We start from the raw sequence: 16,818 nt of genomic DNA on the forward strand, positions 1-16,818 counted from the left end.
AGCAATGAAGGCAGACTCTGATTTCAAAAGAACTATAATAACTTTTAAGAGAGTAATTTTAGTAAAGTTATGTAGGTAAAAGCAAAACTGTAGCCAGTTAAGAGAAATGAACAATGTATGCTGTGGGACAATTTTATTAATTTTTTTATTTACTTGCCAACAAGCAATATAGAAATTCTTGCATATCATTTGCAGTTAAAGATAAAAGAGATAAAGATAAAAGAAGCTAGAGTTTAATAGTTCTAGAAAATAAATCTTATTTAAGCAACAACAATCCAGGGAACTTAAGGACATGATACTTTATTAGAAATCTTAGTGGCAACTGTCATTTTATACCATAAACCTTTGGAGGCAGGATTTTTGACTTGTTGCTCTTTGAATTTCTGGTATCTAGATCAAGAATTGCCATGTATTAGTCAGCTGTGTGGATTCGCACAAAAAAATCACCTGTGTTGAATGCACAAAAAAACCTTGTCAATATGTCTTTTATATACCTATTAAGAAATGCTTTTTTTTCGAGACATGTGCCAAGCATTGTGAAGAGGTTCCTGTCCTCCTAGAGATTACAGTCTAATAATAGGGAACAGCAATTACAACCCAGTGTGATGTGTACTCTGATAAAGACATGCCCAGAGCACAGTGGGAGGACATGGAAGGGGCTCCTAACCCAATCAAGGACGAAGAGCTCTATGGACTGAGCTAAGACTTAAAGGATCAAGAAAATCCAATTAGGCAAAGTGAATAAAATCTTGAAAAATAGAGGTTGAGTTCTGTGGGGTTTTGTTTCATCCACAGTAGCTTGCATATTGTTGTTGCTCATATTTACCAAACAGAGTAATCAAAATATTGAGTGTGAAAAAATTGATGTGAGAAAAGGCCGTATCAGAGCAATATTGCCCCCAGAGGCCATGGCTGCTTACCTGTCCCAAGTCTGCCACAAGCAGCGGTTCTCCTTTCTCTTAGCATCATGATTGCTCATTATTACCCCCTTACGCTCTAAGCTTAAGCAACAGTTAACCACTTGTAGTTTCCTAGCAAGACGTGCTGAGTCTCACTTCTGAGCTAATCCCTCTTCTACCCCCATCTCTGAACTATTCCCCAACTAATACCAATTTGCCACATTTATGTCACTTTAGGCCACTATTTGGAAGCTTTCTCAACCTTCCAAAACTGGTTAGCCCTCTTTAGTCACAGCACATTTGTGATTGTAAGTGAACTGACTGTGTTCGTGGCATTGTAATTGCCTGTTTGGCTGTCTGCAACCATCCGACCCCACTCCATATCCATCACATATGGGTATGCACCTGCATGAACACACGTATACATGACTGTACTGAAATCTCTGTGGACATTTTATCCTAGGATAGCACATGATGGATGCATAACAAATATTTCATGGAGCCATCATCTTTTTGATAGTGAACAGCAGTAGGGGAACCTAGAGCAGTGGATCACAGGACATCACCTTAGATAATTTATTGGAGGCAGTGCTTGCTAGCTGGTTCTGGCAACTTTTGCCAACCTGTAAGTTTCTAGGACAGCAGTGGTCTGAGTCTTAGCATTACCCATTCTGTGACAGGAATCCTCTGGGAATCCTTAGACCTAACAGCATGCAGGCATTTGTTTTCATCAGCTTGAAAAATATCCAAGACTCTAGAGACTGACATTCAACTGCATTTTTAAGTGAAGAGATTTTCCCAACACTTAAAAGACCTAAAGAAGGTGCAAAGTGACTGTAAGAATGTGCTCATCCGTGCCTCTGAAGACCCAGGAAGCCTTTTTTGTCTTCAGTATTTCATCTCAGTCAAGGGGATTAAAATATAAATTTTGATGATTAAAACAACTTCTCTGTTTTAGGAAGTAACCACAACAAAAATCACAGTCTAAATAAAAGTAATGCACCTTCCAAGTTGGAGAAATTATTTGAAAACACAAATAAGACTCTTTAAAACCTTGAGTTTGAAAACCTATGTTAGGAATTGAGGGAAGTAGAAACTGCCAGGAGATTTCCTACATATTTTTTCATACCTTGATCAGTCCAGAACTGCTGTAAAAAAATAACTTTCCTCTTAGTATTTCAACATATTTGCTACTGGTTCCATCCAGGACTATGTAGCCCAGAGGATCAGAGAAATAAGAAACATTTCACTGAAAGAAAAAAAAAATGAAACAAGTTTTGCAATATCTACAAAAATGCAGGGCTTAAATTTACATGGGAGGCTCGAGAGAATTCTTTTCAATCCACATGAATTTGTTTTGTCCTTGAAATACATACACGGCATGGGAGTACTTTAATGATTTAAAAAAAAAAAATGGATTGGGGAACTGGAAAGAACTTCAGCCTTACCTCCTCATTTTACTTCTGAGGATCTGAGACTTAGAAAAGTGAAGCAAATTGTCCAAGGTCATTCAGAAAAGTAACTGCAAATCCAAGTCTAGAGTTCATGTCTCTGGATTCCCGATACAGTGTTTTACAAATTACATCAAACTACTTCCCAATGAAGATCTTGGCCAAAAACAAACTTGCGCAAAAAGATATTTAATGACCAAATTATTTTCAGGTTGTTTTCTTCACAATTTTGGTTTAAAATTCTGTTCATCTCTTCATGTGGAATCTTTTCCAGAACAAGGCTTATGATAGACATCAACAGTCAGTTCTAATCTAATGATGTCATTTATCCTCAATAAATAATATAAAGTCAATAAAATATAAATATCCACAAAATGTGCATTATAAATTATGTAGTAAGATTATAATGACAAGATGTGCATTAAAAAATGTTAAACATTATCATTCGGACTTAACTAATACTAATTTTCTATTGCTTAAAAGAGAGGCTCATGATACCATCTGTGACAGAGGATTTACTAATTAAGTTAATAGCATAAAAGACAACAAAATAATGAACTGTAAGGAACAAACTGTTCCCAAGATCTGAAAATAATTACCTGCAAAATGACTTTATAATGGAATATGTTCACTAAAATTGTGTCCTTTTAATATTAAGGCAGAAAAATTTTTATATAGTTTTCTTTTAACATTTAAAAATAGTACAGTGAAATTTATTTCCAACTGGTAAATTCTACTTTTTTATTTATAATAATATAACACAATGGTTTTTAAACTGTGCTGTACTAATGTTTGAGATAATAGCAAGAGGAAATATTATACTACCTTCCCACAACCATTTCAAAATAGATCAGCTTTACGTGTTTCATACATTATGATCCTTTGTAAGAATTTTGGAGAGAATAGGTATTCCATTAAAAAACCAAAAACAAAACCTTAACAAGTGATTAAGCTTAGCCCAATCAATAATGGAACAAATTAATCTTTTGTGCCTTTGGATGTGATAGAATGGGAAATAGACAATATCATTTATTTAGTATTCTTCTCAAGAAAGCTTTAATCTGAATCTAATCAGAAAGAAATAGTCAGATAAGCCCAGAAAGAGCTGTTCTGGGAAAAGCTGACCCAAAGTCTTGAAAAATGTAATTGATAGATGAGTGGTAGACTGTTTCAGGTAAAAGGCGACTCAAGAGACATGACTGCAAATGCAATGAGTGAAGCTGGATGGGATCCTGAATCCAAGTAAATAAACAACTATCAACCAGCCAAGGACATTGTTGGAGACAATAGTGGTGATTTCGATATAGAATATATAATTAAAAATTGTTTATTGACTCAATAATATATTTCTTGGGCATGATAAAAATTTAATTTAAAAAGTCTGTTTGCTCTTTTCTTTTCTTTTTTTTTTTTTTAAAGACAGGGTCATGTTTTGTCAGCCAGGCTTGAATGCAGCAGTGCAATCACAGCTCACTGCAACCTCAACCTCCTGGGCTCAAGCAATCCTTCTGCCTCAGCCTCCTAAGTAGCTGGGACAATGGGTGTGCAACACCACGCCAAGTGAATGTTTGTTTTTTTAATTTTTAATAGAGACAAAGTTCTCGCTATGTTGCCCAGGCTGATGTCAAACTCCTGACCTCAAGCAGTCCTCCCACTTTGGCCTCCCTAAGTGGTGGAATTACAGGTGTGAACCACTGTACCCAGTCTCTAAACAGCTTTCGTATTAGCATGATATTTAAGTTTACCAAATACAAGGTATATATGTACACTCTTTTTGATTCGAGGATATTATTCCCACTGAAAGATAAGAAAACTGAGGCATAAAAGTAATATCAACTTGGTTAATCTGGGTACTCCATTTCCCTGAATCCCCTTCATTGTAAGGTTCTAAGCTGGGGTTGGCTAAAAGAGAATTTTGTGTGAGATTTGGAAGGCGAAAGTGAAGCAGTGGCCTGACTCTGAGAACGTCATCAGATATGGTGAAGTCCAGGGGCAGAGATGCCTGACAGTTTCTACATTGTGTATTTCTTCACTTAGCACCCAGCTTGTCTTCCTGATGCTGGCAACAGCTCCAGACCCACCACAAGATGCTTGACTGCACAACCTCATTTAATGGAACTACAGCAAGGCAACAAATTTCTGTAGATCTTCCCTTTTGTGGTTCCACTTTGGTGGCTACACGTGTTTGGTTTCTTAGATTTTCACAAGCTCTGGCTTGTCTGCCATGCCAAATTTCAAGCATATGTTTTAACCTTATTTCCGTAAGACTCATCATGGCTCTGCTCCCCTGACTGAACACTGACAAATACAACCATGCCAGTTTCCCAGGTGGTAGAGCCAGATTTCTTCTCAGCCTCCACATCCTGATTCCGACTCCAGAGCTCCTTCCAGTGGACATAGCATCTCCTCAACCCTACAATAAATCTGCTATTATTAAAATATTTTTAAAGCATTTATTGTTGCAGTGGTGGTTGTGTATTTGTTTTTTTAAACTGATAATAAACTCTCAAGTGTTTATTAGAGAGATCAAATTTAATTTTTTATCAAAGAATTGAAAGGTAATAAAAATAGTGATGCACAGGTAAAGGTAGTTCTATTGTAGAAAATTTTTGAGCTACAAGGTGCTTTACAAATACTTTAACTTGTAAGAATAGAAAATTGAGAACTGGAAAGATAGGTAATGTGTCCAAAGGCATTCAAATTATTAAAGAGAGAAGTAGGGTTAGAATAAACATATACTATATCTTAGAGTATGTGTTTTGGGTTTATTTAATTCTAGAAATTAACTGATGAACTTCTTTATTTGAGGATGCCCATATGGTGGGTAGTTATAAGACCAAATTTCAAATCGGACTCCTACTCATCGTTATCAGTGCCTGTGACCTTGTGCAAAGTACTATGCCTCAGTTTTCTCTTGTGAAAACAAGACATCTGGTGTATAGTATGTGTGCCTCAAATATAGCTAGCTTAGTCAGTAATTTGGCTAAATTAGTTACATATCTTGAATTTTTCCAAAATGGGTTCTACACTTTAAAAGCTTAGAACACACACACATACACACACACGTGTACACACACACACACACTCAAAGGAAGGGGGGGGGAGAGAGAGAGCACAAGTTAAAGATAGTTAACAGTCACTCATTAATGACTTATAACAGGATTTGGATCCTGGATAGTTATCCAGAGTGCTACGGGTCAATGGGAGCACAGAGTATCCAAATTGGCCTAAGAATGAGGGTGATGCATTTCTCTGGGAAATCAGTGTAGGGAGGTTGAGAAGGGAGAGGTCCCAGGATCCGTGGCAGAGTGAAGCATGCAGAACTCAGCAAAGGGAGATTCAGGGCTCACATGCTGTCATGGTGAAGACTTCAACTAATCTGAAGTGGAATTTTGGATTCTGAGGGGCTCTTCAGAATTGCCCCAAATTGGGGCAAGAGGGTCTTCATATTCTTATATTGACCAGTCATTAGATACAATGTATCTTGCAAGAAGTAATCTTGGGTGATGTTACTTTCTTTCTTTTTTTATTTTTTTTTTTGAGATGGCGTTTCACTCTTGTCGCCCTGACTGGAGTGTAATGGCGCAATCTCGGCTCACTACAACCTCCACCTCCGGGGTTCAAGTGATTCTCTTGTCTCAGCGTCCCGAGCAGCTGGGATTATAGGCATGTGCTACCACGCCCGGCTAATTTTTCTTTAACTACAAACAGTGCCTGGAAAGGGGACTTCAGCTGCAACCTGTCAGTCAACATTTCCCGGAAGTGGAAGAAAGAAGCGCTTTAGTATTGAAGGAGGCAATGGGTTGACACGTTACATCTACCACAGTAGGTATCAGGGAAGACTTGGAATAAGAGAGAATCTTAAAGATTTAAGATGTATCCATGTGACAAAGTTAAGTTTATGTGTTGAGTGAGTAAGAATATAGCATAAACAAAGGCATGGAGGATTTAGGGCAATCGCAAATAGTTACCAGAACATAACCGTTAATGAGAAGGGTATCCAGGTAGGTAAAGTTAGGGAGAGTGTATGGCAGCAATAGGTGCATAATTAGGTAGTGGCCAGGTCACGAAGAGTCTTAGTGGTAGACTTTTACCTGCAGATATTTGAACACTGTTGAAATATATGAAGGAGGGAAAGACCAAGTTGTCTGTTAGAAAAATCATCTCAACAACAGCATGGAAGATATATATGAGAGTATGAAGACTAAAGAGGCAGGAAGGTTCTATAATTGCCTGGGTGTTAGATGATGAGGATCTGGATAATACTACCTCTCTAGAGGAAGTATTAAATAATTTCACATTGATACATGTTAGTTCATATGCTATGCTTATCATGACACTCTTACATTATTATTTTTTCTTATTTATATTCTCTTGGGTTCTACAGATTTTATTTTCTATCTGAGAAAATTATTTGGAGTTTCCTTAGAGGATAAAAGAAAAATATGTGTAATACATGCACATTTATAAGCTCATCTATCCATTCACAACACTTTCTTTTAATTAATATGTCAAGAGCATGATAAATGTTTTTTTAAAAAACAACACCACAGTTAGGTTTAAACATTAGGACCACACCTGTTACAAGAATTTTCAAACAAAATTTCCATGATAGAATATGTTTTAGAAAATAAAACCTCAAACAATTCTGAATTTAATTTAATTTAATTTAATTTTTGAGAAAAGTTATAGAAAACAAAAAATATAAAACAAAAACCTAGTATGAATTTCATAGTTTTATATTTCAGTCGGAATTTAGTTGAATTTGACCAAGTCAACTGACCAAAACCTCAGTTTTCTTATTTTTTAAATGTGTCTAGGCCCAGAGCAGTGGCTCACTCCTGTAATCCCAGCACTTTGGGAGGCTGAGGCGTGCGGATCACGAGATCAGGAGATCGAGTCCATCCTGGCTAACACGGTGAAACTCCGTCTCTACTAAAAATACAAAAAATTAGCCAGGCATGGTGGCAGGCACCTGTAGTCCCAGCTACTAGAGAGGCTGAGGCGGGAGAATTGCTTGAACCGGTGAGGCGGAGGTTGCAGTGAGCCGAGATCGCGCCATTGCACTCCAGCCTGGGCGATAAGAGTGAGACTCCGTCTCAAAAAAACAATGTGTCTAATAATACCTACCTCCAAAAGAGGTTTATATGCTTGTAGTGTTAAAAATCATTTCATAGGTTATGGAATACTGTGCAAATCTTAGTATTAATACTTGAAACAATTGATCACAAAGACACACGCCAATTCAGAGGGACGAGACATGAATGGACAAAAAGCACATGAGGCAGTGATGGACAATGTGAGTTCTAACTGCAGGCCACGGGAGGCATTAATGGGCCTAGAGAAGCAGTACTGGGCATACGTGATGATACAGGCAGGGAGAAAAGTTGCAAGGGCTTAGCTTCTGTTTTCAGGCTTCTGTTCCATTTTTCTTTGAAAAAGCGAATAACACCATCTTATAGTGTGTTTACTTTAATGAATCTTTCACCAGAGTAAGCATTATGTTTTAATGAGTTCTCATTTCCCATTTCATGTCAACGTGAATCGTATACTTGAATTGCATGAGAAAATGATGACTGCACATCTACTTTCTGTTAGGTCCCTGCAGGAAAGAGGCCAGAACCACTAACTTCATGTCAGCAGCATGACAGAACAGAAACCACATTGAATGAGGCAGGAGTTAGACATCCCTTATTTAAGTCTTTCTCCCTTTTTGGGCAAAATTATATATATGAGGCTCATATGTATATATATGTGTGTATGTGTGTGTGTGTGTGTGCGTGTGTACACATGCATATGCATGTGTGTGAGGCTTGAAGAGTTCATATATATTATATATCATATATTATATTATATATATATTACATATATGAACCATATATATATATATATATATATATATATATATATATATATATGAGCCTCAGCTTTCCTTCCCATAAAACCAGAGGTTTGAAATTAAATTGTTACATTTCTTCTGGCTTTATAATTTTGATTCTCAAGGTTCACAGTTCTATCAAGAAAGAAAAATGGGGATATCAGAGTGTATGCATCACCCTAGCAGGGAAGACTTACTTTTTGATCATAGATCCCTACTGTGTGGTGAGAATACAAAATCACACAGATGTCAAAGAAATGAGAAATGCTCAAAAGGGCAGTGGGGCACTCTAAGAGGAGGTGAGTACTCCTTCCTCATGCAGATGGCAGAATGGCATACACATCATACACTCCGAAGTGCACCACAGATGCCAACAATCCTCCTAACCCTGCCCCAACACTCTGTCCCGCAACACCCTCCAAGCCTGACACACATGCATATGCATGTGTATGCACACACACACACACACATGCAGCCACCTATGAAAAACTGAGAGACATTTTGGAAAGGAACCAAAGCAAATTCTTCAGGAGCCTAGGAAAAGACTAGACTAATTATTTGCTAGTCCTATTGTCAGGCTGTCTGACATTAGCCAAGTTTCATATAGTTTCAAGTTTCAGGTCAAAACATTTACATAAGAGTATCCCTGATGTTTAACAGTGGTTTTCTTGTTATAAAACTTTCAAAATATTGACCTCCTTGGAAACATTTCTTCTTACACTCCATTGCATTTTATAAATGTCTCTTCTTTGGTTTCTTGAGCTGCCATTAAGTACACCCTCGCTTCCCCTCCACCCCCACCATGAGACTATCAACTCTTTTAGATCTATTTCTCATTCTCTGTTGTGGTGACATCATTACTATTTGTCGAGAAAATGATTATTATGTCTCCAAGGATCCAACCCCATACATAATCCATTAAAATGAAATGAGTTGTGCCTATGAAAATATGCAGAATTCAAACTTTTAAAAAATTAAAAAAAAAAGGTTTGTCTTGAAAAGACAAATAAGCAGCAGAAACAGTTGAACTATGAGATAACCACACAGGTTGAAACAAAACACACGCAAGGGTTGGGTTGCTATTGTTGCAATTACTTGAAGCAATGTGCCCACCCTTTAATTCATACAATCATATTTTCAAGACAGAGGTAGAGCAGTCACAATATTGAGAGTTAAAAATCATTACAACTCTAATTTACTAAGAATGAAACTGAGGCACACACAATTAAAGACCTGCTAGGCATCAAGAATTGCATTAATGAGTAGCAGTAGAAGAGTAACTAAAATATCTTCCCTGTTCCCAAGGAATGCCAGCCAGTTTTTAGTGACCTAGTTAGTAACAAAGCTTGACTTTGACGTCTGTAAGACCAGCGCCCAGTAGAATTCCAGGAACACAGAAGTAACACAATAAGTGTTCGTGCAATGAATCCACCACATCACATTATTTCCTTAGCCATATTTTTGTGTGTTTATTTTTCCCTAGTAGACGAGCTTCTCATTGAAAAAGGATAATTGGAAACATGTATCATTAAGTGTATAGTTTATCTATTTTTACATCTGCAATCATGTATTATGTATATTGATGCCATTATTACAATTTATTTTTGCTTTTTAGATTTACCAAGAAAACCCTCTAAATCATGCCTCATCTTCTCTTTTATGTAAATCATTCAAACATAAAAAAATTTTACTTTTGTCATCTTCAAGATCATTTGAAAAATGCTAATTCAAGAAAGGTCATCAAAAAAAGTAGAACCAGAAAATCTTTTTTTAGAATAAAGAGATTATTTAAGCCAATGAGTTTGAGTATGAAACTTATCAGTTTTATATATATGAATTCACTGCAACTGCATGATAACCACAGAACAACAGTATGCTTGACTTCATTCACCATTCCCTAAAATTTAAGCCAATATCAAAGATAGTCAACCTACGAAAACTGAAATTTAAATCTTTGAAAAAGTCTTTACAGGCTTTTTTGTACCTCTTTGTAATAGGTCTAGACAAAAAAAAAAGAATTTTCATTTTGAAGGATGATTTTCATTTCTTTTTTTCATATTTTCCCACTACAATTATTAAGTGGCTAGGTAAAAGGTAGTCGAACACTACACTGTAGCATGACTTACCTATAGTTTTGCTTTTCATTTCCTATGTGGAATCTGTCATACTGTGAATAGGCTCGGTTCCCTTCCCAGTCCATTAACTCAATTCTTAGCATGTACTGCCTCTGACTGGTAATGGCAAAAATAAACTCATTCCCCAGCCAATATTCACCGGAGGGATTTCCAAAACCCTGGGAAACAATATAGAGATGCAGTTGTTACTTTAGAGAGGAATTCTTTTCATGTTCAGCATTTAACTATTTTCTAAATAATAATTAAAAATTATTAAAAAGTAAAGGTTTTTGTTTTTTACATTTTACACTTTTTCTCCAGTGATTGACATTTCAATAATTCTGTGTCTCTTCATCAAAGCTTCTGTCTAATTCTTACTTAGTACAATAAAACCTCTGTTATTCAAATCTGTGTGGATGAGACATTTTGTATAAAATAAATCTAGTTAATAGGTTTAACTGGAAAACAATTCTCAATTCAAGGTTTGCTTTTGAAAATGTTTCTAAATTACTAGTTAACAAAATATTTTGAATAGAGTTTAAAGATTTTTCAATGAACACTATGAGAGTGATATTAGACAAGTTATTTAACAATATTATTTTTACTATTATTATTCACAAATGCAATTATGTTTCAACAATAACTTCATATTTAGGTTGGTGCAAAAGTAATTGCAGTTTTTGCCATTACTTTCAATGGTAAAAACCATAATTACTTTTGCACCAAACTAATAGATTACTAGAACCATGACTTTTGGAGCTTTAACTTTCTTATTTTTAAATATTAATAAGCAACCCTGTAAATCCATGACTGTAATTATTTACAAAGCTGCACTGGCATTGGAATTTTGAGGCAGAAGGCTGATTTGTAAGTGCTCCTGAGTGAACCTAGCTGACTGCTTGGCTTCTGAATGTCAACATGACTTTATTGTTCTCTTTGGGGGAAGTCAAGGTTGTTAAGTATTCAAAATAGTTTCTTTGTAGGGAGAAAAAAGTGGTCCCAAAAGAAAGCCAGCGCTTAATGTTGGAGATGTTAGTGATAGGAAAAGAAAGAACCCCTAGAAACTTGCTGGCATTCTAGATTTGGAGTATTCACAATTGCCTCAGAAAATACTCATTGGCAGTGCTTGAAGTTCAATGTAATTCTTGATCTACATATTTGTTTCACTGGCCATGTTGTGAGCTCCCTGATGATAGAAACTGTGTTGTATTTGTGAATTTCCAAAAACCAGTGAAGAGCTGACATGCACTGAGCATTCCAATAGGGTTGTTTTGAAATTCAAAGAAAAAGGTAGAAAGGAAAGGATAGAGGAAAGAAGCAAGAAAGGGAGAGAGAAATGGAGGTAAGGAGGAAGGAAAACAAAATATTACAGCATTTTACAATAACACATGGAAAAGTAACCTTAAAGCACAATTCTTGTTGTAGACAGTACAGTTGAGTCTTGGTGAAATGTTTCTTAAAGTGCCCAACTGGGTCACTTGCGCACTACCTCCTCTGCCAACTGAGTTACTTACCAAAGTTCAAAGGTGTTTGGTACCAAACCCATTTATGCCAGTTCAGTTATTGCAATATTTATAAAATGTTATGCAAATAAGTTAAATATTAGTGGGAAAAGAGAGTTTTAATTTTTTATAAATATCCGGATTTGCTCAATAAAAGCAAATTAGTAAAACTTTTTTTAAAATTACGAATTGTTGGAACTCTAAAAGACTGGGAAAAATTTTAAAAATTTAAAGAATTTTTAACATATTGCCTTGCATGTGTCTTCATGTACTGTTCTATTTTTAAAAAACTGAAACTAGAGATTGGATGCATTCTACTATGGGAAAGTTTTAGGAAAGAACTGATGACACAGAATTCCAGGCTTTGGCCCTCGTTTTATTTTTTTTTATTAATGGGTATGTGATGTATACTGTTATATTTAAAGTTAAAATTAACATATGTGTACACTTTTAAAGTTATTCCCCAATTTAACTAAGTTTTTTGATAGGCTGAATATGCTTGGTCCAGATTGCATTGAGTATATACTCTTCTGAAGACCATCCACCCATAGCTCACAGTAAAGCTATAAGACCACTGAAGTTAGTACTCCATTGGCTCTTTACTTCTCTGTTCCTAAGATGCTCAAGTCACACTTTGTAAAAGTTTCACAGTGGCAGGAAATATTAGAGCAATTTCTGGTGTGCTAAGAATTTTACACATTTTTATGGCAGCCAATGCTACCTACTAAGGAGAAGAGCAAAGCTTACCTTCTCCAAAGCATAAACAAAACAGAAAGTTACAGGAGGCTGAAAGTCAAAGAATTAGCACTTTATCAATTACAACAGCCCCTGGGAAGAAAAAGAAGACCACTGGGATTTTCCTTGCATTTTTTTGCAGCTCAGACATGTCAAAACTCTCCCTCTTGCCACTTGATGATTCCCTTTTCTGTGCAGTCATTGAAAAGGGATTCAACACTTATACTCAATGTGAATAAAGAGGCTGGGAATGATGAAGTGTTAAGTTTTGGGTCACATATTTCCATGCTGTTGAAAGCGCTGTGTGGATAAAACTCTCCAACTTCCCCAGGGAAACACGCAGTGATCCTGGGTGAGCCTTAGAAATGGACAAGCATTAGCCTCATTCCTAGGACAGCCTCCATCCCTGTCTCCACATGCAGGCCTGTACTTCCCTCTAAATGGAAATAAATATCCCTTCCTAAACAGTTTGCATTTTTGTCTTTCAGGAAGAAGTGACTAAAAAGAACGCAGTATAATTTGCATTTAGAAACTAACATTTATTTCGAGCTCCTTCCCAAAAAACTGTCCAAGCATGCTCTAGTATGAGAGCAAAAGGTTTGAGTACAATGAATCAAAATGGCTGCAATATAGGGAGGAAACCTTCTAATAGCCAAGTGCAGTGATCCAGAAACAACTGTTTCATTATAAAGATGAAAAATACGTGAAAGAAGGGGAATTGTGTTCCCACATTAGTAAACTGTCTTTTGGATAGTTTACCAGGCATGACCACAGATCTGATATGTAGGACAAAGGCTTGGCTTGGATGAAATAACCTCTACCCCTTATCTCTGGCTCCAGATTAAAGCCTTGAACTGCCACATATTTGCTGTAGAAATATCGACTTTGTTTCTGAGCCTCAGTTTCTCTGTCTGCAAAACAGGGATTACAGACATCATTTTCATATACAAGGTTTTGAGAATAAAATTGATAATATAACCGAAGCACTTAACTGAGCACTGATAGACAGAAAACACTTAAAAATCTAGCTGTTGTTATAGTTAAAATATATGTCATAATACACAGTAATTTTCTGGTTAGTTGCTTCTCTTCCATGAGACTGTGAGTCATATGTGGGGAAACAAGTTCCTTTCTACTTTGTATAAGAAAAGGAAAAAGAATAATCTTGGGTCTTGTATTAGCCCAAAAATTAATAAAGGGATACTGAAATAATTATTTAAAAGGCTCTCAGAGGACTAATGTAATATTTTACTAAATTGAGAGTTGGTTTATACAAATGAGTATTGTCATTTTAATCCAAAAAGTTAATTATTAAATAAGAAATTACAACCAACTGATTTCAATTGGGACTAAACTATAGTACTAATGAAAGCACAGACTACTTTCTTATTCTTACCTTTGCTTCCAAGTACTTAAGTATCTGTTTCCTTCGACTCTCCCTTAGTGCTATCTCTTTCAAGCCCTCTCTTTCCATATCTCACGAGTTTTAGGAGCTACACAAGAGGTAATTTTTAAGGTATTATACCATGCTAATAAGTTAATATTTGTAATAATTGCTTTCAACCAGGAATGCATATCAGAAACAGCTGTGGGGGTTTTAAAAAAATACAGATGGTTAGGTCCCCCGTGAAGATTCTGATTCAGTATGTCTGGGGTGGACTCAGAGGGAGAGCTATACATGTAAAAGGTTGCACATGTAAGTCTGCTATGAACTGAAGGTAGAGATCCATATAAATATGATGTGGAATAGATATTCCAAGTGCAAACTAAAAAGAACATATTAATTAAATCAAATTATTTGAGTGGTATACAGGGAAAATGCAGGAGTAAAATCTCATCTTCATACTGAGGTCCCTATAGGGAGGCAAATTTTGATTACATGTCTGGGACTGTCCTTCAAAAATTCATATTCATGCCTAAAAGACAGAGTCAACCAATGCATATGCTCCAAAATAGGCTTACACATTATGGCACATAACAGTTTACCACAGGTCTTTATTTTACCCCCAATAGCCTGTAACTTCCATAAAAATAAAAATGAAAGTATATATGAAATTCTGTGCTGATATTGAAAAAGCAGCAACGAATGAGTAAACAATTACAATACAATTTCCTCTTTTTCATGAATAAAATCTAAGGATACTATGCCATGTACTTTTGTAAAAATGATGTTTAATGATGTCAAACACAATCACCTGAAAGGTTTTGATTCAGTAACTCAGATACATTGTTAATTGATTTTATTTCTTCTCTAACGCTCTAATAAAAGGATAAAAAGACACTGAAATTTAATCTGAACTAATGCTGACTTAAAATTGGCCTTAAAAGGCACATATTACTCAAAAACACATGCAAAGGAAAGATCAACATTTGTTAGTTTTTGCCAAAACCTGCAGAAATGTTCAATTTTGGTTTGTGCTTTTCCAAGTTAATAAAATAATTGTCTCTGATACTTTATTTGTTTTGTCTGATAATGCTCTCAGGAAGCGTTGACTTTTTATAGATGAAGTAAAATTGAAACCAGACACAGCCCATGTATTCCATGGGTTGCATCTTTTTTCACACAAATTATTTAAAAAATAAAAAACAGATAAGACAGCGCTGTGGCTTTCAGGGCACTTTCATATGCAGTTAAATTGTGCATCTCCTCTAAATGCTGAGACGTGCAACTCAAGAAAGACTGAAACAAATTTTGTATTTCAAAATTTTTAATTTCATATGCATTTTTCTCTTTTTAATGTGAAGATGTTAAAATATAGCTGAAAATGTGCTCTCAACTTCTTTCCAGAAACAAAGAACTCCCAGAAGGAATGGTGCTCACACTGAAATTTTTGAGTGGATAGGAAGCTCTGTTTATGGGGGTAATTGTTCTCAAAATAAAGCAAGTTTGCCTCCAGGACATTAGTCATTGCCTACAACAGTATAAAATTAGGCCATTTTGGGTACTATCTGGAACTCCTAGCCTCATTGCGTTTTATATGTGAAAGTACTGCTGATAAGTGTTACTGCTGGAGGCCACTAAAGGGTATCCTTATGACTTGAAGGAGCTAATATCTTCCCTAAGTGCCTCATTAAAAAGCCTACTCCAGACTTTCCTTTCAGACAAACATCTTTACAAATCCATAAACCAGATTTTGCTGAATCTCCTCATGAGGAAGGTTAAGTGACAGCTAAGCTTAGGTAAGATACTTGTAGGCTTAAAGCCAATGCCGAGAATCCAAAAAGTGGTAAACCTTTCATATTGACAGAGGTTTAAAAATAATGATAATATATAGTATATATTTGTAATTACATGTGATGGAAATCTTATGAAGCAAGAGGCAGCCCATAGATATCAATCACTATGAAGGGAAGGAAGGAGAGAGGAAAGGCAGAAAGGAAAGAGAGAGAAAACTTGATTTCTGCACTCATTGCCCAAGGAAGAAATGTAGCATCCTAGTATATATAATAGTAGATTGGTAAAGACTGGAGAAGAGTTGGGGCATGCCAAGTTCTTGTTATCCCGAAGGATGTACACCCTTAGCTGAAGAAGTGAGCAGGCAGTTCTTTGGATGCAGGAAATAGAAGTAGGTGTGATTGATAAGAACTGGCATAAGGAGTCTATATCCATTCCTGGTGGAGTCATGTTATTTTGTCTTTAGGTGAAAGAAAAACTCTAGAGAAAGAACCGAAACACTGTCTACCATGTGTTTTAACCATCTTGTAACATATGATGAATATTTTCAATTAAAAAAATTCAGCCTCATTTTTAGCCAGAATATTTCAAAATGTTGGAGCTTATCTCATTTTTTGATCATGCAAAATTGACATTCATCTGATAAATGTTTCAAGTTTGAATAAAGCATGATAGCCTTTCTTATTTTAAAAAAGGGAGGAGGGGTAAACTCCATAAAACATGATGATTAAAGAATTTCAGTTTTGTTCCAATAATGAAAAAAGAATTGCTTAGAAATGGATATATTTGGTAAATACTTACAAGACATGAATTGATTCCATACTTAACAAGTCAGTATCTCTTACTTAACATGCCTAGCTTGCCAAGGCAGCAGATGTTTACAGTTAAGAATTCACCATTTTGGAAAGTCACCATGATGACAACTTTATATTTATTTTTCTGTTATCATTAATTTTAATAATAATGTATTTCAGATTAGCCTGAGTCTCTATCTACAGTCTGATTTTCAGATGACTTCTTCACATCACATTTTAGTGGTGAAAATAATCATGAATTCAGATGGT

At 35.8% G+C, this 16,818-nt stretch overlaps 1 protein-coding gene across 4 annotated transcripts in view; it reads right to left on the bottom strand.

The window, feature by feature from the left end:
• The window catches only part of ANGPT1 (angiopoietin 1), a 248,437-nt gene that overhangs the window by 24,846 nt on the left and 206,773 nt on the right, over positions 1-16,818 (bottom strand). For 3 of the 4 annotated variants that reach the window (NM_001199859.3, NM_001146.5, NM_001314051.2), the window contains one exon: positions 10,355-10,521. The exons of the other annotated variant lie outside the window; for it this stretch is intronic. In NM_001199859.3, coding sequence (NP_001186788.1) covers positions 10,355-10,521 — 167 coding nt within the window. The remainder of the gene's footprint in view (positions 1-10,354; positions 10,522-16,818) is intronic. 4 annotated transcript variants of the gene reach the window in all.

The sequence above is a fragment of the Homo sapiens genome, chromosome 8, assembly GCF_000001405.40.
Source record: "Homo sapiens chromosome 8, GRCh38.p14 Primary Assembly".
NCBI lineage: Eukaryota > Metazoa > Chordata > Mammalia > Primates > Hominidae > Homo > Homo sapiens.